The sequence below is a fragment of the Homo sapiens genome, chromosome X, assembly GCF_000001405.40.
Source record: "Homo sapiens chromosome X, GRCh38.p14 Primary Assembly".
In the NCBI taxonomy this organism is placed as follows: Eukaryota; Metazoa; Chordata; class Mammalia; order Primates; family Hominidae; genus Homo; species Homo sapiens.
Window position 1 is genome coordinate 37,711,478 of NC_000023.11, and position 23,834 is coordinate 37,735,311.

The 23,834-nt window shown below is 36.5% G+C and overlaps 1 protein-coding gene across 1 annotated transcript in view; it reads left to right on the top strand.

Annotated features, from left to right (window-relative positions):
- XK (X-linked Kx blood group antigen, Kell and VPS13A binding protein) overlaps positions 1 to 20,653 on the top strand; it is a 46,340-nt gene extending 25,687 nt beyond the window's left edge. The window contains exon 3 of the mRNA NM_021083.4: positions 16,159 to 20,653. Within this exon, the coding sequence (NP_066569.1) occupies positions 16,159 to 16,985 (827 nt within the window). The 3' untranslated portion in view covers positions 16,986 to 20,653. The remainder of the gene's footprint in view (positions 1 to 16,158) is intronic.

Genomic DNA, 23,834 nt, shown 5'->3' on the forward strand with positions numbered 1-23,834 from the left:
ATGGATAAGACTTCAGCCTCTCTGTCCTTTAGATGGATAATTTGGGGTACAATTTACACAATCCTTTGTGGATCTCCAGTGGGAATGAGCCCCATTTGCTATAGTGGTAACCAGTTTAAAAATGTAGTCTTGATTAGCCTTGTTTCCTCCCCTCTCCCACTTCCCACCCAACTCCTTCAATTCTGCTTTCTAGGCTTACCTCCCAAATGAACCACCTGCACCCGGATGCTTGCCTCAAGCTCTTCAGTTTGAGAGTAGTCATCTAAATAGAGATGATAATTTGAATCACAGTTGTCTAGGCATATGCAGCTGTGAAAAAGACAGCTAGGTTCATCCAGGGACAATTTCTGTCACAGATGATGTGACAGAATTGAAGGGTAAGCATGTTTGAGGTTTGTGCAAGAGAATGAATGAAGTTTTACACCAAGTATTCTTAGCTAGAAGTGGGAAAATAGAGGATTTATTTCACTGGAGGGTTTGGTAAAAATTAAAAAAAACAATTGTAGTAGCTCTTAGGCAAGCAAGTCAGATGGATAGAAGGTGGTGGTCACGATAGGGTGTTTGAATTAGTGATTTCAGAGGTGTTTATTGACTCTTGGATTCCTAGGAAAGCACTCTTAATAACTCAATCCTGCAATTTCACTTCTGCTGTATTTGGGGGCAGGCTGAATAGGCTAGGATTCATAGGTCTAATTTTATACTACAGTTCTCTGAACTTTGATAACCTGATGCAATCATCTTCTATTTGATCAGGTCGCTGCCCAGAGATCTACTTTGGCCAGACACGTTGACTAGATTCTGAAAAAACCTTACTTAATTTTTTGCTGTTTTCTGGACCAACTGTATTTTATGAACTAATCTAATGATAATAGCTTTAATTCATATATTCTTAGAGGAATATTGTGAGGAGGGAGTTGAAGGGATAGCTTTTTATGTTTGTATGTGGTGCTTTACATGATATAAGCTTATAAACTTTTGGCACAACATCATCTGTTTTTTGCATGTGTGTACTCACACACATACACAGAAAACACAAAATTTCAGAAAGTATGAAGGGAAATACACTGGAATATCAATTAGTTGTCCTGAGATAGCGAGAATATGGGGTACTTTTTTTCTTTCCATTTATCTGTGTTTTTCATGCTTTCACAATGAGTGTAAGTTTTTGTTGCAATGGAGAGAGTGATTCATCATGGGCTACTCTGGGTGGCTGTGGGTCTTTGTTTTGCTCGTTTGTGCATGCCCAGTTCTGGCACATATGACCACTCAATGTAAGGTCAGTGAATATGAGTTAGGCAGGGAAGTTAAATTAATCTCAGTTTCATAGACGAAAAAAGTGAGGGTATCATTTGAGATGTTTTCATTGCAAGTGTTAGAATATGCAACTAAAAGCAATTTAAAATTGTAAAAATGTATTACTTCATATAATAAGTTCAGAGGCAGAGTGATCCTATGGTTGACTAACTTACTAGCACAACAGTGTCGAGGATCCAGGCACTTTCCATCTTTTTATCTGTCTTCCTTGGCTTCTTATTGGTGTCTCCCCTGATGATTGCAAGAGGACCATGTATCCATTATGTATTTCTGCATAATAAACCACCATAAAACTTAGTGACTTAAAGTAATAGCAGTCGTTTCTCTTCCTTATGATTTTGTAATTTGTGTAGGTATCTGCAGGGCTTACCTTGCTCCATGTGGCATCAGCTGAGGCAGCTTGACTAGGGGCTGGCAATTTGGTACTGTTTAATACTGGTTGCTTAGCTGGGACTGAGGGCTGGAGGCCTTGGTTGTTTTCCATGTGGACCTCTCTTGGCTTTTTTACAACATGGAAGCTAGATCTTAAGAGTGAGGATTCCAAGAGACATGAAGGAGAAGTTTTCAGTGTCTTAATATGTTGTCCTGGAAACCAGAATCATTTTTGCTTGATCCTATTAGGAGTCACATGATCTCAGATTCAAGAAGAGAAGATATAGACCCTACTTGTTGATAGGTGGTATTTCATAGGACTTCAGGAGCCATGTTTTAACACATCTACAGGTAGTTTTAGGTCTAGACATTACATGCAGACATGATGAAGAGGGAGGTTTCTTCCTGTGTACTTCTTTTTACTGAGGAAGAATGCCTCTTTTTTTTTTTTTAACATAATTCTATTCAGTTTCCGTTAGCCAAGATTGGGTCACATGTCCATGCCAAACCAATCTCTAGGTACAGGAATAGAAAACGAAGTTACAGATTTCTCTGAGGTGTAGATATCCTTGACCCTACAGAACAGCTGGGCAAGGCCTGGAATGGATAGACCAGCTTCATCCTCTTAACCCAATGAATACTAATTACAAATAGTATAATTTTTGTATTTGTCTGTGACAGAGAATAAGTTAGGAGACTGGTCTATACTAATCTTTATTTACTCCAGTGGTCAAACCTGGGATCATCTTCCTTGAACACATGGAAGGGTGAGCAGTACCTAATCAGAATTAGAGTTCTGCCTTTAAGGAAGAAGAGAGGAAGGATACCAATTAAGTTGGAGACCCACAGTATCTGCAACACTGAGGTTTAGGAAGTTTAAGGGCCCAAAGCCAAGACTAAGACCCAGTTTTTGGACACTTGACCCAATGTTAGTTGTTTTAACCAACACTGCTTCTCATGGAGTTGGAGAATGTTAGAGGTAGAAGGGACCTAAGAGATCATCATGTTTGATTTTGCACACTCTGTAGAAACCACTTATTCAGTGTCCCTGAAAGGTATTCCACCAGCCTCTGCTTGATTATATTCAGCAGTGGAGCTGTCAGTATTCAAAAGACACTTCTATTGGTGAAGTACTCCTTGTTAGAAATTATTTCTTATATAATAAGAAATTAAGTGGGACTTTTCCTTTTCCTGCAGAAATGACATCTGGCCCATGTGCTGAATATATTACATTCAGAAAAAAAAAGCCACTAAGGACTGGCCAGTCTTCTTCTTTCAGAATTTTCTGAGAGTGACAAACTAACACTACCACAGTCAACCTCACATACCCCTACCTTCCAATTCTAAAAGGACTTACCTGGGGAGAAAGGGCAGAAGAGAATAGGATCTTCTGTAACTTATTTATGGTGAGAGGTTACTTCCTCCCTTCCAGAAGCCACTTAAAATAGAATTTCAAGATGAAGGGTGCTAGCAACAAGGGTAGCCAAGCCACTCCCTGGCTTACGAAGCTGGGAACCCATAGGCCTATCTAACAGTTGCTCACCTTCCTTAGAGATAGCTTGTTGTGTGTACCCTGGAGTTTAGGAGTATTTATAAGCATAGCGACTGAGGCCTGCTTTTCATTTGTAGATTCCTGAAGGAGGGAGACTTGAGGGAATAGCCTGGAGTGAATAAAGACTGTGGTGCCATATGCCTGGAAAGGGGGTGAGAGGTCTCTGCTGTATCAGCTAGCTATTGCTGAAAAACAAACCACCAAAGACTTAATGGTTTAAATAACACATTTATTGTTGCTCAATCGTCTACAGCCCTGTTGGTGTGTTAGGATTCTCTAGAAAAGCATTATATAGGTGTATAGTGTGTGTATATATATATATATCTCCAAATATATACATATATGTGTATATATATTTCCAAATATATACATGTATACGTGTGTGTGTGTATATATATATATTTCCAAATATATACAAATATGTGTGTGTGTGTGTGTATATATAGTCCTCTTTGCTTTATCAAATCTTTACATGACATATTTGCTTTAGATATATATTTTTTTCCTTTCTAAGCAATAAAATTTATAGTATAGTTGGGGCACCCTGTGAGTCTTCCTTGTCATGATTTCAGAGTTTATCATTCTTGTGCATGATTTATAACTTTGCTGCATAGGCACAGTATCCATAAATAGGATATATTGATTTTGTAGGTCTTTAAACTTTATCACACTGCAAATAACATTCTGAAACTTGCATTTTTTTTCAGTCAACATTATAGTTTTGAGAACTATACACATTGATGAATGTAAACTTAGTTTATTCATTTTTGTGGCAGAAAAGTGTTCTATTGCAGGGTGGCCAACCTTTTTCTGTAAAGGTATGGAAGAAAAATATTTTAGATTTTGCAGGCCATCTATGGTCTGTGTCACATATTGCAAATCCAAGAAAGAAATAACTTGTATATATCTGATAGTAGATTGGATGCCCTGGTACTTTTTTCACTTTATTGGCTTACATTTCTAACAACAATTCCATTTAATGGTTTTCTGCACCAGAGGTCATTTTCAGCTATAGTCAGTATAGTATACATAGCTGCTATAGCAACCTAAACAATGGTCCATATGATTGTGTAATGGTGTATGCTTATTATAAGATTATATTAAGTCTACAAGACTTGAAGGTGGGTTCATATTCATTCCTCCTAAATTAAACCCACCTCCAAATGGGCCAGGGGGGAGAATGCTTCCATCCACCCACCAAGAGTTTTCACTTAGGTTTGGCTTTGGCATGATGTCGGCTCTGATTTTTTCCTGGAGTTTGTGACCACAAGTCAATGGAAGTTACTTAGTGGTACACAGCGGGAAGACATATGCCTCCTACCCACCTCCACACAAGGGTGTCTTGTCAAGGCTGTGCCTGAGTTTAGGGAAACGTGTAACTGCTGCTTATATAGCTATTTGAATAATCCAATATCCAGTATAGACCTTCTGATTCCTCACCCACATCTCTGTAAAGTAAGTAGGTCTTGGTAGTGCTGCATAGAATTAGAGGCACTGAGCAGGTATAATCACACACAGAAGAAGTGATATCCTCACAAGGTCCAAACCATTTATTGTTTATTCTTTATATCCTACCTGTTTCTAAAAGGCTTTCATGTTGTTTACAACCATGGACACATACCAAACATGACCATAAAATAAGAAGAACAAAAAATAAAGTATTTGAAAAGAGGGAAGGGAAGATAGATTGGGAGGAAAAGTACACTGAGGATTATTGTGGTAGTTGAAAAGATTAGTGGAGGTAAGAATGTGCATGCAAATATTTGTGAGTGTCTGTGGTTCAAGGGTTGGCAAAGGGAAAAATACAAGAAATTGCTTCAGTCATGGAGGATCTAATGGCCATGCTGAATTATTTACAAGGTTCACTGTACATGAGTAGCTACATTTTAAGAGGATTTGTGATGCCTTGCCCTACCTGAAAATCTGCAGTAGAATAGAGAAACTCTATCTTGGGATTCTGAGTGGTCTTGCTACCATTTTGCTGTTAGATACCATTTTGCTGCTACCATTTTGCTGATAGAGGGCCCCATACATGAGTCTAGGATCTTACTTCCTTGATCTGGCTATCTAAAGGAAGAGTTTTTTTGTTTGTTTGTTTGTTTTTTTGGTGTAACTCAACTCACTGATGTCCCTTTTCTCTGCCTGAGGCAGGATGATAAGGAAGGAGGACAAGTTGCTAGGGCAGATAGAGGGATCTGCTTCTGCCCCACTTCTCTCTGATCATTGGTTATTCCTTGAGAGGCAATTCTCAGAAACCAGCTTAGCATAGTGAGGCTTACCCATTCCCGGGTGCCTGACCAGCATGATTTCAGAAGGTCTTTACATATGAAATATTCACATAATAGAAGACAGACGTGAAATTTGGGCTCAGTGGAAGCAAGGAAGAATTGGACAAATCCTCAAAGTACGCTTGGTGGATTCTCCAGACTCCTTAGGGTCCTGGGCAGTTTTAAGGGTAGCAGACTCCTTCCTGCCATCAAGTGATAAAAGAGATAAAATGTGGAGCTGAGACCACTGCTAGGGAAATAGACTAATTATATTTATTTAGGCAGAAGAGCCTACTGGTTAAGGCTACGATTCTGGAGCAAGACTACTTAGGTTGGAATTCCTGCTCTGTTAGCTGAGTGATCTCTGGAAAGTTACTTAACATCTCTATGTCTCCACTTTCTCATCTCTATTATGAGGATAATAACAGTATCTACTTTATAGGATTGTTGTTAGAATTAAGTGATTCATACCTGTAAAATTCTTACAATAGTCCCTTGTCATGAATTAAGAGTGCAATAATTTTTTGCATAAGAAAGATGAGCTGGAGGAGATCTTGTCATCCAGGTACTTAGGCAAGAAATCGAAATACAGCTGGGAGAAAAGAACAAAATCACTCAGGACCTCTGAGGATTATAGAGTATACAGTTATAATCACATCATGTGGGTTGTGAGTGATGGGCCATAGTATTTGTTCTCACAATTCTGAGAACAAAACAAGATATAAATATGTATTGAAGGAAGAGTCCTCAATTTTTGACTAAACATCTGGTAAACTGGCAGATGTTCAAGAGAGATTTTGGTAACAGTGAGATCTTAGTCAGTAAGACTTTAAGAATTTTCTTTTAACAGTACTAGGGTATCATACTGGTTATATCTGCAGAATGAGTTTTGCTATAGTAATCTAAATAGGGGTTTATGTAATGTCTATTTTCTACTTGGCATTTTGCCAGGGTAGGGAAAAATATCTCTGAAACAACTTCATTGTAACAATGAAATGATAGTCCTTTTTGCCTTTAAAAATTGTAATCTAATAAACATTTATCGAGTGCCTACTAAGTATAGTAATAGTGTACCTAGTTTTTTCAAATACATATTATTATTGAAGTATAAAGTACACACAGAAAACTATACTCATCATAAGGGCAAATCTTGATTTATCACAAAGTAAACTTACTCATGTAGTTCTGTATCCAAGGTGAGAAACAAAAGAGTATCAGAATCCCCAAAAGACTCCTTATGTTTCTTTTCAGTCACTTTCCTCACCCACCTCCCCCAAAGGTAACCACTAAGCAGAAAGCCGACTTCTCACACTACAGATTATTTTTTCCTGGGTTTTAAAATTTTATGTAAATGGAATCAGGGTTCTGGTTTCTTTCACTCACACTGTATTCATGAAAGTTATCCATATTGCAGTTTGTAACAGAAGTTTGTTCCTTAGCATTGCTGTATAGGATTCCATTGTATGAATATACCGCAATGTATTGATACAGTCTGCTTTTGATTAATATTTAGGTTATTTCCAGATTGTGACTATGACAAATAATGCTTCTGTAAATATCCTTGTGCGGGCCTTTTAGTACACATATATATGCAGTTCTGTTGCATGTATATGCAGGAGTAGAACTGCTGGGCTGAAAGCAATGTCAATGTTTAGCTTCAGTAGAGACTGCAAAGGCAGTTTTACCATTTTACACTCCCATAAGCAGTGTATGAGAGTTCCAGTTGCTCCATATCCTTGCCAGCACTTGGTTTTACTTTTTGTGATGGAGTAGATGTATAGTATCTCATTGTAGTTTGAATTTGCATTTATGACTAATGAACTAATTTTCTTTTCATGTCTTTAGTGGCCATTTTAGGGGTATGTTTGTGTGTGTGTATGTGCATGCATACACATGTGTGAAATGACTGTTCAGGTATTTTCGCTCATTACAAAACTGAGTTGTATTTACCCTTTTGGTCCTTGTTCATACCTTCTTGTATCTCCATGCTTCCACATAGGATCATTTCTTGTGGGCCTGAAATACTACTTTTAACATCTCTCCTTTAGTGCAGATCTGCTGGTGACAAATTCCCTCTCCTCATTTTTGTTTTGACAGAAAATGTATTTCTTTTCCCTTCATCTTTGGGACTGTGTTACTTCCTACTTTTAGATTATCATTCATCTTCCAGCTTCCATTATTTCTGTTGAGATGCTACTGTCCTCTGTCATTATTGTTACTCGTTTGAAGTTCATCTGTCTACTTATACTTTCTGACTGCTTTTAAAGACTTTCTCTTTGACTTTGGTGTTCAGCAATTTTAACATGATATGCTTAGTTGTGGTTTTCTTCATATTTACCTACTTGAGTTTTGTAGCATTTCCTCAATCTGTGGTTTGATATTTTAGCAGTTTGAGAAAATTCTCAGCCTTCATTGCTTCACATATTATGTCAGAGCCATTCTTTTCTCTCTCTTTCTCTCTTTCTCTCTCTCTTTTTCTCTATCTGGGACATTTCCACTCTACTGTAAGTTTTTCATGCTTTTTCTTTCTCCATTTGAGTGTTTTCTTCTGACCTACCTTCTAGTGAGTACTAATTATCTTTATAGCTGTATCTAATCTGCTATTAAACCTGTTTATTTCTTAATTGTAATTATGGTATTTTTTTAGTTCTAGAATTGTCATTTGAGTTTTTAAAATAGTTTCCAGTCTCTGATAAGTTCCCAATTTTGTCACACAATTTTAAAATCATATAAATTATAGTTATTTTAAGTCCATGTCAGATTATTACAAAATCTGTATCTCCTACAGGTCTATTTTTATTATCTATTATTATTTTTGGATTTTGGCCATTTTTTGTTGTTGGCATACCATGTTATTTTTAATTTAATGCCAGGTATTTGTAAGAAAAAAACTAGAGAAAATTTGAGGCTCTGCATGAACTATCTTTCTCCAGGAAGATTTTGCTTTTGTTTATGGCAGTCAGATGGACTAGATGCAGATCAACTTGACTCAGTCATGACTTGAGATGGTTGAAATCTATATCAATCTTTGCGAGGGCTTAATCTCTTTCCAGTCATCCTTACTCCTGATGTCCTTTGAGTTTCTACTAGAAAGCTTTGGGTGTACACCAGGATCATTATGGGGCCTGAATGTCAATATTTGCTCCCATACCCACCAGCTTTGAGAGATTTCTATAAGTTGTATTCATATTATTTGTTTCTTAGTACTCATTTTCATTTGGGAAAATGTCTTGAGGGAAAAGGCAGCTTCAGAATTTTCTCGAGAGATTTTTTTTTTCTTTCAAAAGTCTTAGCCCCAGGAGTACTCACTGCTTTGGAAGATCTCTGATGCCTTTGAACAGATGTTTGCCTAGTTGTTCTTGACAGAAATAATGGATTAAACAAGCTAATCTGCCATGCTAGTATGGAAATCTTTTGCTTTTTGATGCCTTTTTTAGGGAATTCAAAAAGCATGAGAAAATAAAATTGGACTTTTTTGTCATTTTAAATGTTTGTTGATGGCCACAAGGCTAATTACTGTTTTATCCTTTTTTTCTTTTCCTTTTTTCTATCTTATGAATTTCAGAGGTACAAGTAGTTTTGTTACATGAATTTATTGCATAGTGGTGAAGTCTGGGCTTCTACTTCTTCCGTCACCCAAATAATGTACATTGTACATTAAGTACATTAAGTACAATGTACATTAAGTAATTTCTTATCCTTTACCACCCTCCCAAGTCTCCAGTGTCTATCATTTCACACTGTATGTCCATGTGTACACATTATTTAGCTCCCACTAAGTGAGAATATATGGTATTTGACTCTTCTGAATTGGTTCACCTAGGATAATGGCCTCTGGTTCCGTCCATGTTACTGCAAAAGACATTTCATTCTCTTTTTATGACTGAGTAGTATTCCATTATATATCGCATTTTCTTTATACAGTCATCCATTGACAGACACATAGTTTGATTCCATATCTTTACTATTGTAAATAGTGCTACGATAAACATATGAGTGCAGGTATCATTTTAATATGGTTTATTTTTCTTTGGGTAGATGCCCAGTAGTAGGATTTCTTGATTAAATGGTAGTTCTGTATTTAGTTCTTTGAGAAATCTTCACACTGTTTTACATAGATCTTCTATTCATTTTACACTCCCACCAACAGTGTATAAGTGTTCCCTTTTCTCCCATCCTTGCCAACATCTGTTATTTTTATTACTTTTTTATAATAGCCATTCTGACTGGTATAAAATGATATCTCATTATGGCATTAATTTGCATTTTCTGATGATTAGTGATGTTGAGCATTTTTAACATTTTATTCTATAATATATATTTGGTCTATGCAGATCTGGCCTTTGAATTCTGACACACTTTTTGGGATACCTATAGGACAATGTGAAATCTATTATAAGTTTGATTCATAGTTAAGAATGAAAAGCAACCACAAAATATATACAAATGGCCAATACCCACATGAAAATAGGCTGGAAATTATTAGTCATCAGGGAAATGCAAATCAAAATCACAAGATACAATTTCACACCCATTAGAATGGCTAGAATAAAAAAGTTAGATAATAAGAAATGTTGATGAAGATGTGGAAAAATTGGAATCCTCATAGACTAATGGTTGAAATATGAAATGGTGCAACCTACTTTGGAAAACACTATGGCAGTTCCTTCGACAACTAAACATTACGTTACCATATTACCTAGCAACTCCACTTCTATAAACTCAAGAGAAAAGAAAATATATGTTCACACAAAAATTTGCACATGAATGTTCATAACAGCACTATTCACAATAGCCAAAAGGTAGAAACTATCCAAATGTTTATCAACTGATGAATGGACCATGTCTTGTATATCCATACAATGGAATATTATTTGGCCATAAAAAGGAATGAAGTACTGATACATGCTACAACATGGATGAACCTTAGAAACCTTATGGTGAGTGAAAGAAACCAGTCACCCAATACCACATATTCTATTATGTTATTCATATGAAAGTCCAGAATAGGGAAAATTTTAAAGATAAAAAATGTATCAGTGGTTTCTTAGGACCAGTGGGGGCAAAATTGATAGCTAAAGTATATGGGGTTTCTTTTTGAGGTGATGAAAACTTTTTAAAATTGACTGGTGATGGTTGCACTTATATGCGAATATTTAAAAATCATTAAATTGTTCACTTTAAATGTTTGTGAATTATAGCTTCATTATTATAGAAATTTTTCAACATACAAAAAGATTGAGAGGATGTTATAATGAACCCCCATGCATCTATCACGTCTTCAACAATTATGTGTTTTTACCAATGAAGGATTTTTTTTAAGATGCAGCTGACATAGGCAGATTCATACACTAGGGGAAAAGAGTCAGGATTAAGAGAGTAGTTGAAAATTTAGAAGGGAAAGATGATAATTGATACAGCAAAGTTTTTGAGGAGGCAAGTGATAGAGTGTAGTGCAGGTGGGGAGATCCCGGCTCCAGATCGTAAGAAAGACTCTTTGTTCACTGAGTTGAAAGAAAACAGATAAAAATTACTGTCTCTCAGAAATCTGTTGAAAATTCTAATTTTCAGAAGCTTGCTTTGCTAACTTCCTCCAGTTTCCCTCTGCCACTGCACTCCATATCCCCTTTGGCTTCGCCAGTTACCTCTTTGAAGTCATTCACTAATTTTTTTGAAAAGTCTATTCCATAAAAGCATTTCATGAGTTCAGTCATTTTACTGAAGATTCAATGTCTACAGAGAGTAATCATAATACAGAAAACAACCATCTACCATCCTCCATCTTACAGCCAGACTCTGTTATTTCTCTAAAGCAACAGACACACTGTTCCCTTGTACTATAAATAGAATTGCTTTCCTAAGAGGAATTCTGGGGAAGAAAATATTCTCCATAACTTTACATAGAGATTAAGTTTTTGGTGGCAAGTCAGGAAATGAACAAATCCATGCCTAGTGACAATTAATTTCTCTGTGAATTAGGAAGGTTCATCTGGAAAGAGTTCATTTGGCTGGAATTGGGTAGGAGGAAGCTTTAGAAGTATGCCAAGGGTTTGAAATATTGCCAAAGCCTTCCTTTTAGCTTTACTTAAAGTAATGTCTTCCCTTCTAATAATAATGAAAACAGCAAAATGCCTCCATCCATACACACCCCTAGGAAATGAGATTAGGATTACTAGGGGATGTTAGACTTCTGTGAAATGCCACTTAAATAGGCAGTACTGCCAATTTATCCCCTTTTGTGTTGGCTCTGTGAAGATAAGGTTGGGAAATATTGTCAGGGAACTTTTCTCCATTTAAGTCTGAATCAGTAGGTATTTGCATGAGCATCATTCTCATCGTTCATTAGATGACAGCTTAATTATAGAGCTGGAAATGTACATTGGAATCATTTTGTACAAGCTTCTTGTCTCCCAAATGTGTCTCCCTCCCTGACCCCATTTCTATCTGTGACATTTTGTAGTGAGCACCCAACAGTAGCAATGATAATTAAAGCCAATGATTTCAAAATATTTTTTATGCATTCTCAGAAGGTTTCTGTGGTTGATTACTACTAGACACCAACTGGGTAATAATTGCCTAATTCTCTTGATAGAGAAAAAGATGTAATTTGGAAATAATTGACTGAACAAGAGAAAAATGGATAGATACTAGAAAAAATTATGTGGGCCATAGTATTGCTTAAAGCAATAAATATTTTGGAGTTAAAATACCATAAATATAACAATATAAATACTGTACATGTGTGACTACTTACCTTAGATTGTAATAATTTATGCTTAGCTCATCTTCTGCACTTAAAATATTTTTCTTATACTGGAGAAAACATAAGGACTATGAAAAAATGATTTAATAATGGATCCTTAGAGTTTGGAAATTTGTAACCACACATACATGTATAAGTAATATACAAAGTATATCACTAATATGTTCTGCTTTACAATGCTCCATTGAATTAGCCTCTCAGGAAAAATAACTTAGTGCAATTACTTCCCAGTCAACTCAGGTAATGGTGTTTCTACCTTTTAAATTTGATTAGTAGATTCCAGTCTTTCCAGTGAATGACATCATTAATTAAACTCAGTGCCAAAAGACTATGAGAAAAACTGATGCTTTGAGTAAGAGTGAGCTTCTCTCCCAGGCAAATAAATACCAAAGCTTCAGAGTTTTTATGTCTAATTATAGATGTTTTTCCATTTATTCGTAAATAGGAAAAACCTTTATTCCTATACATTTTAAATTGTACATTTAGATAGAGACAATTATGTTACATGGACAGAATTACATAGAATTGAATTTTAAGAATCAAGCATGGATAAAGCTACAACAATCAAGACAGTGTAGTAGTGGCAAAAGAACAGACAAATAGATCAATGGAACAGAATAGAGAGCCTATAAATAGACCCACATAAAAACAGTCAACTGATCTTTGACAAAAGAACAAAAACAATACAATGGAGAAATGATAATTTTTAAAATTCTAGACACAGACCTTACACCCTTCACAAAAAATTAACCTGAAATGGCTCACAGACCTAAATACAGAATACAAAACTATAAAATTCCTAGAAGATAACATAGGAGAAAATCTAGGTGACTTTGGATTTGATGATTGCTTTGTAGATACAACACCAAAGGCATGATCCATAAAAGAAAGAACTAATAATCTGAACTTCATTAAAATTAAAAATTCCTGCTCTGCAGAAGACGCTCTCAAGAGAATAAAAAGACAAACCACAGACTGAAAAAATATATTTGCAAAAGACTTATCTGATAAAGGGCTTTTATGCAAAATGTACAAAGAACCCTTAAAACTCAACAATAAGAAAACAAACAATCAAGTAAAAAAAAAAATGGGCCAAAGACCTTAACAGATACCTTGCCAAAGATGGACAAGATGGCAAATAAGCATATGAAAATATACTCCACATTATATGTTATCAGGGAAATACAAATTAAAACAATAATGAGGTACCACTATATACCTATTGGAATGGAATATCATTTAGGCTTGAAAAATAAGGAAATTTTGCCATTTCTCAACAACGTGAATGAACCTGGAAGATATTATGCTAAGTGAGATAAGCTAGACACAGAAAGAAATATACTGCATGATCTCATTTATATGTGTAATCTAAAAAAGTCAAATTGATAGAACCAGAGAATCGAATGGTAGTTACTAGGGGCAGGAATGGCTCTGGGAAATAGGGTGATGATGGTCAAAGGATACAAAGTTTCAGTTATGTCAGATAAATAAGTTCTAGAGATCTAATATACAGCATGGTGACTGTAGTTAATAATACCTGAAATTTGCTAAGTGTTCTCACACAGAAAAGGTAACTATGTGAGGTGATAGATATATTAGCTTGACTATAGTCATCATTTTACAGTATATATGTATAACAAAATATTATGTTGTACACTTTAAATATATTGGCAAAAATCCAGAACACTGACTACAGAAAATACTGGTGGGGATGTGGAGCGATAGGAACTCTCATTCATAGCTGTTGAGAATGCAAAATGGTACAGTCATTTTGGAATACAGTTGGGAGGTTTCTTATAAAATTACACATGCTCTTACCCTGCGATCCAGCAAACAAATCACACCCATTGGTATTTACCCTAAGGAGTTGAAAACTTATGCCCCTCCAAAAATCTACATATGGATGTTTATAACAAATTTATTCATAACTGTCAAAACCTAGAAGCAACCAAGATGTCCTTTAACAAGTGAATGGATAAATAAATTGTGGTACATCCAGATAATGGACTATTATTCAGCACTAAAAAGAAATTGGCTGTCAAGTCATGAGGAGATATGGTGAAGAAAACTTAAATGTATGTTACTAAGTGAAAAAAGTCAATCTAAGAAGGCCACATATTGTATGATTCCAACTATATAACATTCTGGAAAACGTAAAACTATGGAGACAATAAAAAGATCAGTGGTTTCCAGGAGCTGGAGACTAGGGAGGGATGAATAGGTGGAGAACAGAGGATTTTTACACAGTGAAACTACTCTGTATGATACTGTAATGGTGGCTACATGTCATTATACATTTGTCCAATGTGTAATGTCCAATGCACCCATAGGATGTACAATGCCAAGAGTGAGCCCTAATGTAAATGTAAACTTTGGATGATAATGATCTGTCAGTATAGGTTCATCAGTTGTAAAAAAATGTACCACTCTGGTGGGGGATGTTGATAATGGGGGTTGTTGATAATGCTTGTGTGGGGTCAGGGAATATATGGGAAATCTCTGTACCTTCTGCTCAACTTTACTGTGAACCTAAAACTACTCTAAAAAATAAAGTTTATTAAAATGAATAAATAAACATTTCAAGATATTTTTAAAAAATGAAGCAGCAGGCATGGAAGGGTATTATCTCAATTTTATGGGTGAGAAAACAGAACCCAGAGAGGTTGCCATTTTTTCAGTGTAAACTGGTGAGACAAGAAAAAAACGAGAGCCAGGCTGTCGGTTCCTAACTCATAGCCCTGCTTCCCATCCTTCCTTGTGCCAGTATTTAGAGATGTTGGCAGCCTGTAGTAAGTGATTATATTTCAGTTTTGACCACAGTCTACTTATGGGTTGGCATCATATATCTTAGATAGTACAACTCAAGGCCAACAGTGCTGTGCTCTGGAATGTAATACCACGTTCCATTTAAATGAGCTACATCTTGTCTCCCCAAACTTCTGCTTCTATTATAAACTGGATAAACCCATTACCCATAAGTCATTTTAAGAAATAAACAGAGTTGAAACTTCTTGAAACACTAAGGACTTTCAGCCCAAGACAGATAGACTCTCAGTAACAGTGAAGTTCTCGTTTCTTCAGCTCCCCACAGAATTTAAGAATGCAACCACAGTGAGTATTCTATAGTCAGTGTATCAGTTTAAAAGATCCTGCAGATATAGAGGAACATACTGAGCAACTTATTACTGTTTGTATATCTACTGCTGGTATGTGCTGAGGGACATCAAAAGGAAATATCAGATTTGGTTGGTCGGTCTTGATTCCCCAGAAGCTTAGAAGCCAATTGAGGAAACAAAACACACCATGTAAAGGACTCTACATATTCAGACAGGCCCAGATGAGGTCAGGAATGTATTTTAGTGTGAGTTACCCTGAAGCAGGCCCTACGAGAAGAATTTGAGTGCATATATCTGGGGAGGAAGATGTAAGGAGTGTGGAAGAAGAGAAATGAGGCAGGGAAGGGAAGGCAGCCAATAAAGGGAGACAACTATTAGACAACTATCACCATGCGTGACTAGAAGTTAATCCAAAGAGCAAATACTAGGAAATGTCATAGAACACATGCCTCAGAGATATTCTCTCTGATGGATGGGGAAGCCATAGTACTTGTATTCCAGCTCCTAATCTGGGCTGGAATTGGGGCATTGAGGGCGCTCTCGGGAGTATTAATTCTTGGCACTTCAGCCTGACAGGCACCTGGATGCAGCAGCTTTCTGCAGTTCTGGAAAACATACTCAAGCACAGTGGGCAGATGCTAACAACTGGAAGTCAGGCTGTGCACATAAAACAGAAGAGTCCAAGGAATGCGGGTGGGGTGCTGACAGAGTGTCTGCTGCAGTAGGATTCCTAGTGGAGGTGAGACTTGATGATACTCTCTCTTTTCTCCCCAGGTCTCCTCATGACCATATCCCTGTTGTCCATTGTGTATGGAGCCTTGCGCTGCAACATCCTAGCCATCAAAATCAAGTACGATGAGTATGAAGTCAAAGTGAAGCCTCTGGCCTATGTCTGTATCTTCCTGTGGAGGAGCTTTGAGATTGCCACTCGAGTTGTAGTCCTGGTCCTCTTTACCTCCGTCCTGAAGACCTGGGTGGTGGTTATAATACTCATCAACTTCTTCAGTTTCTTCTTGTACCCCTGGATCCTCTTCTGGTGCAGTGGTTCCCCATTCCCTGAGAACATAGAGAAGGCCCTCAGTAGAGTGGGCACCACCATTGTACTATGCTTTCTAACTTTACTCTATACTGGTATCAACATGTTCTGCTGGTCTGCTGTACAGCTGAAAATTGACAGCCCTGACCTCATCAGCAAGTCCCATAATTGGTACCAGCTACTGGTGTATTACATGATAAGATTCATCGAGAATGCCATCCTCCTCCTCCTGTGGTATCTTTTCAAGACTGACATCTATATGTATGTGTGCGCACCTCTGTTGGTCCTGCAGCTGCTCATTGGGTACTGCACAGCCATTCTCTTCATGCTTGTATTCTATCAGTTCTTCCACCCTTGCAAAAAGCTCTTTTCTTCCAGTGTTTCTGAAGGCTTTCAGAGGTGGCTCAGGTGTTTTTGCTGGGCCTGCAGGCAGCAAAAACCCTGTGAGCCGATAGGAAAGGAAGATCTACAGTCATCCAGAGATAGAGATGAGACACCTTCTAGCAGTAAAACAAGTCCTGAGCCTGGTCAGTTCTTGAATGCTGAAGATCTCTGCTCTGCTTAATGGGACCCAAGGTCTCAGAGCACAGGCATATTATTTTCTGGGTTTGATACTCGTTATTCATACAAATAATGAGCCCTACACAGGGAACAAGGCAGGAAGTTAGCTGTTAACTCCTTGTGAGCTGCTTCTCTTTATAGAGCTCTTGGGTATGTAGAACTGTATGGGAAGAAGCCAGGAAAACCTCTGAGTGTTGAAGGGGCAACCCAAGGCATCACAGTTCACAGGTAACCATGTTGTGTTCTTCTAGGCATTACTGGCCTTTTCACTGACAAGTTACCCCTGAAATCTGAGTTGTACTGGTTAGATTCATTAGGTTGAATGAGGAGAGGGGCTTACCTGTTCTCTAGTTTTCCAGACTGCTGGTTTGGGTAACCTGAAGTTTTATGATCCCTGAACATAGTTTTCACCCAAGAGCTGTCCTGGTGACCAAAAAAGATTACTAGGGTTTTGCCATCAGCAACATCATTCCTGTCAGAGCTTTCAGGGAGGGCTGTTCAAGTTTGGTTTTTGAATAGACAGAGGTTTCATTTTCATCTCATTAGGGCTTTTTTGTACATAGCCAACTGTAGCCACCCTGGCATGCTGTCTCTAATTGATTCAAGGGCCTAGATTTGGAGACTTTGTTCCTTAGCATCCATGGATGCAGAAATGAGTGATAAATTTGGCCATGAAAGCCCTGGAATTTTAGGAAAGTTGTGATTCTTTGATATGTTGATGAAATTCTGGATCAGGAGGGGTGTTAAAACATCAAAATGATGGCGACTTGTATAAGTAGAATTCTTACCATCTTACTCCTGCCTCCCCATTCCTTGCCTGTCAGGACCATTTTAGAAGAGTTACCTTGGTTAACTTAAGGGTTTTTTAGAAAACCCCACAGAAATCTCTCACCCAGTTCAGGTGTATAGGGAATTTTCATTTTCATTATTTCAAGGAATAGAGTTTTCCTCACTACCACTTGTAATTAGAGATTGACTTCAGAAACTTTTTCTAAATTATAAAGACGGAATGACCAGAAAATTTTTGTCTTTCATGGAATGCAATTTGACTTGGCATAATTGTGAGTTAATTTGATAAAGATCTCCAGTTGTATCCTCTGACACCCTTTAATGTTCTATATAATTTTTCCTTTAATCGGAGACCCTATTTGTTTCATTAAAGAGGATTGGGTAGCATATCCTCAATTATCTTGGAAAAATGCGTAGATCTAGTGCCATTATTTCTACCATTAAAATCTTGAAAGCGAAATACTTGAAAAGAGGTGACCATAAAGATCACACCAATTTAGAATGAATATTAAAGTCTGAGAAATTTACAAAAGGGACTCTATGGACTCGATTTTACCATATGGAATAGGGATCCACTTCTCTGTTAACCTACAAAACGTATTTATCTGGCCATTGCACTTCGGATAATTTTCATTTTTAATTCCTCTTGGTGTCAAATTTTTAAGTAATTTCATGCACACAGGAGAAAATGCAATTTGATAATCAGTTTCCACTACATTCGGAGGTCAAGAAAGCAGTATATATTCTTTCACAAGGCATCCATACTGTTTAATATTTATAGAGTTCATAGAAATACATCAATAAGCTCCTAAATTATAGAGCCTCAATTTTGGTTTTTCTCATTTGAAATGTTTTTGATTTATCAATATTTGTGGTTTAACTTTGTGGGGGTGTCCAGGCAGTAGATCATTTTTTGTCTATTTTTAACCAAATAAGAATAACACTCAAGACTATGTTCTCCATCCCAACACATCACTTACCACTTGCACTATTCTTAATAGGCCTAAAATAGTGAGCATATATAATCAAAATAATACTTCATACAACATATACTTCCATGCACTCTTCATGTAATCACATATGTGCATAGATACACAATCGTATTACATAAAACACCCTTGAAAATATATGACTTTGAATAAAATAAAGCTACCATGTTAATACATCATTTTTTGTTTCTTCCTAATTAACAAAAGGGCTCTATAATGATTAGGAGAGCTGTAAGGCCATTCTTTAGTCATTCCAAGTGTATATTTGTATCACACCAGTTACTTGTGTTCATTGACACCAAATATTTTCAAGCTTTTTGTGAGAAAGAGATTCTTGCCTTGAGGCTCTGCAGTGGCAAATGGTAGGGGCAATAGCGCTCCCTTTTCACCTGAAATGCCTTCAGCTCAGGCCTTGGGAGTGAGGTGTGGGAGTAGCCACCAGCCTCCCACTGACTAGGCATGTTAGGAATTAGACAAGGATGGAGAGACTGGTTTTTTCCAGCCTTGGTTTGGAAGCTTGTCTCAAAAACCATTACAAAATCTTAACCTTCAAATACATTCTAAATCACTTTAATTTAGAAGATAGGTGAGCAACTTGAGTGATCCCAAACCAAACTAACAGTGCTGGTTTGTCCGACACCCAAAGCCCACTTCACACATTTATAAGGACAGAGATTTGGTAACTCATTTGGGTATTTTGTCAGTTTTAACCCTTAATATACAGGTATCCCAGCTTTGGGCACATGTATGTCCATTCACTTTCAGGAAGGGGTGTCAGTACTTTCTTTCTGTGTGGTGAAAACATAAGCCATGGTGAACTGATAATTTTTGTTTTTAAATTATTTATATTACTGAATTGGCAAAATTACAGTTCACACTGCAGAGCTAGGTTGTCCTATTGGCATAAAACAAACCAGCAACTTTTCTCATGTGTTTGGAGTTAAAATGTGTTTTTCAGTTATAATTTCAATTTTTAAATTTCTTGGTGCTTTGTCTAATTAATTACATCCCATAACTTGTCAGGATAGTTGCTCCAACTGAATTGCTATCATTTGGCTGGATGGGGGTGAAGTATGTCTTCAAAATATATTGAAGTAAGTTCATCAAACATGTTTAGACTTCCTCTCATTGCTGGAGACAGCCCAGTGTAGAGATTGGCACTTCCCTGTCCAGCACTACAACTTAATTGCTCTATGCCTCAGTTTCCCCATAATACCCTTTTCCAACCTACCTCACAAGGTTATCAGAAAGATCAAATTAAATAATAGATGTGAAAATGCTTTGAAAATGTTTTTAAGTGCTATGCATATTTATAGAGTTATTATAGTTATTCAAATCCATAAGCAGGTTATTTTTATTTTTTTACTGTTTGAAAAGAAATAAGTAGTGTCATTCATATGAGTTCCTGAGTGGATATGCGAATCTTTGGTCTTCTCGACAGGTGCCCTTTCTCTTACCACTAGTTGCTTACAAAAATAGCACCCAAACACATGGCACTTGGAAGAAAAAGACCCACTGAATCTGAGAAAGTACTTTCTGGTGGCAAATGAATTTATCATTTTAGTATAGTTTTCGATAAAGGATATAGCAACATCTTTTGATAATTGTGCTTTACAACTTGAATGCTGATTCAAGGCATTATTTGGATGTGAGTTTAATCTTTTCAGCCTTGTAAATGGGAAAATATATATTAAAATTGATTGTCAAATACAGCATTTCTTTGGAAACCACCTTAAAACATTAGTGCTATGGTTATGAGTGTATGTGCCAGTACTTACCAGTCAATGCATTGTGGATATGAGCTTTCGTTGACTGCTTCTCTGCAGTCGTTGATGCTAATAAATATTGTCCTGTTTCTTCATATAATAAATTAATTTTTCAATTTCTCCTTGTATTTCATTCTTTATACAATTCTTACATGGCCTTTTTACTTCAGGGACTATTTTTAAAACAGAAATTTTAAAATTGTTTCATTGTAACTGATTATAGTTTTATAAACTCACCTGGAAATTACTTCTGTAGGCTGAGAAATTTGAGAGTGCTAAGATTCAGCCTTGCAGAACAACAACAGTCCATGAAAACCTCTCTGATTGTTTTATAGACATTTACTCCACTTGTTAAAATTACACTGCTGGATACTAAGATTCTGTTCAGTTGTCCATCAGTTGCCATGCACAATACAAAAAAGAGAGGCAATACACATCTCTTCTAGACAAACATAAATATATACTGATTCAGAAATATAAAACACCAAAGAAATGGCTTGGTATTAACATACATAATCAAATGTAAATGGTTGGGAAAAACATCAGTCATTAAAGGGATCATTTCAGAGCATGAGAGAGACATGGACTGTTTCAATAATTCCTTTGCTTCTGAAGGTGGCCTTGGAATTTGCAAAGACTTAGCTATAGGATAAATCTCTTTAAAAACAGCTTTATTGAGGCACAATTGACATACAAAAAACTGCACATATTTAATGTATACAATTTGATGAATGTGTACATATGCAAACACTCATGAAACCATCACCACAATCAAGGTAATAGACATATTCATCACTTCTAAAAATTTCCTTGTCCCTCTTTGTTTTTGTTTTGTTTTGTCTTTGTAAGACACTTAACATGAGATCTATGCTCTTAATATTTTAAATTCACAATACACTATCGACAACTATAAGTACTATGTTGTACAACAGATCTCTATAACTTACTCATCTAACGTAACTGAAACTTTATATCCATTGAACAACAACTTCCCATTTCCCCTACCCCCCAGGCCCTGGCAATTGCCATTCTATCCTCTGCTTCTATGAGTTTTGCTATTTTAGACACCCCATCTAGGTGGAATCATGTAGTATTTGTCCTTCTGTGTCTAGCTTATTTCACTTAGCATAATATCCTCCAGATTCTTCCATGTTGTCACAAATGGCAAGGTATCCTTTTTTTAAGGCTGAGTAGTATTTAGGAATATGCCATATATTCTTTATCCATTTATCTATCAATGGACATTTAGGTTATTTTCATATCTTGGCTATTGTGAATAATGGTTCAATGAACACTGGAGTGCAGATATCTCTTCAAGATCCTGATTTCAGTTATTTTGGATACATACCCAGAAGTGGGGCTGTTGGATCATACGGAAGTTTTATTTTTTTAATTTTTTGAGGAGCCTTCATACTGTTGCCCATATTGGCTGTACTATTTTACATTCCTATCAACAGTATACAAGTGTTCTAATTTCTCCAAATCCTTACTTACATTTAATTTTTTGTTTTTTTGGATAGTAGCCATCCTAACAGGTGTGAGGTGATATTTCACTGTGGTTTTAATTTCTAGTTTCCTGATGATTGGGGATGTTGAGCACCTTTTCATATACCAGTTTTCCATTTGTATGTTCTCTTTGGAAAAAGGTCTATTCCAGTCCTTTGCCCATCTTTTAATTGGGTTATTAAACGCTTTCTTTTATTGAGTTGTAGGAGTTTCTTACATGTTTTGGAGATTTTCAGATATATGGTTTGCAAATATTTTCTCCAATCTGTAGATGTTTTTCCTTTGCTGTGCAGAAGTCTTTTAAAATAAATATTTTCATGTTAAAAAAAACTGAGTATTAACAATTATAGCATTCAAGTAGGTCAATATAAAATTATTTAATTTGGTGTTTGTTAATGTTTTATTTTGAAATAATTTTAAACTAATAGAAAAGCCTGAAGAATAGTGCAAGGAATTTCTTTATACCCTTTACCCAGACTCACCTATTATTAATATTTTTCCATGCCCGTTATCATTGTCACTTTCTCTCTCTTTCTTGTAAACCCTTTGAGATTACACTGCCAACGTTACACCCCTTTATTCCTAAATACTATGATGTGTTTTTCCTGTGAATAAAGGTATTCTCTTACAGAGCCACACTATAGTTATCAAATTCAGGAAATTTAATATTGACACAATACTAATATCTAATCTAATATCCATACTCCAGTTAACAATTGTGCCAGTCACTTTATTTGCTTTCACAAAGCTTGTGAAAACCATGTGAATCAACTCAGTTCTCTTCTGTGGGGTTGTCTTTATTTAAAACTATGAGTAAGTTTTAACTTTTCTATGAATAATGGGAGATCTACAGCAGACGTTGAAGTTATTTGAAGAAAATATGTAGATGCTATCAGTACTAACTAATAGCTTAAAAACTGGAAATTTGAGATGTTTATTGGCAAGCTGGGTAATTCTTTTTCATGAACATCCTTTTTAGGCTTCAAGTGTTTGCTGTTTAATATTTGAATCTGTAGTTCACTCCCATCCTCTGCCCTGCTGTTATAACTCTATTTTACAGTGTTTGGGCCCAAATTTTAAAAGATTAGGAATGAGGTGAGTTAAGTAGATATTATTCTGCTATGACCATATTTCTCTGGGTGTCCCTCTTCCAGGAGACTATATTTTCTATGAACATCTCTCCAACTGGGAAAGAGCTCAGAAATCTCAACTATACATTTTAATTAAATGAATAACATTTTGAGCATTTCCTCTTTTTCAGGGAAAGGCACTTTATAGCAGCAGAGATTTGTACAGAGCTGGAAATTCAGAAGCATCCCAATCTCTCCTTTCCCAACACACACACACACACACACACACACACACACACACACACACACAAACACACACACACACACACACACACCCTGTCAGAGTAGACCCCAAATATGCTAAGAAGTTGAGTCTGCCACAGAAGCCTGCTCTAGGGAATGACCTAACATCTTATCACCCTCTCTGCATGGTTGTTTCTCTGGAAATTATTAGGCCAAGGAGATCTAGAATACTTGGTTTAAGCAGGTTTTAGAATCCAGAGCATCTTTAAAGAGTGTTACAGCAGCATGCAGCCGTGTCTCTCTGCTGCAGGTTATCAGAAAACTTAACACTCAGACTCTGCTGTAGCATGCACCTTTGTGTGAGGGAGTGGAGGGTTTGCCTCCTCCCAAGAAGGATAGATTTAGCTAAATCAATTTTGAGGTTCTGCCTGTGCTTTCACTCCCTCCCTGCCTCCTATCCTGAATTAATTTTCTATCTCTGAATGATGAG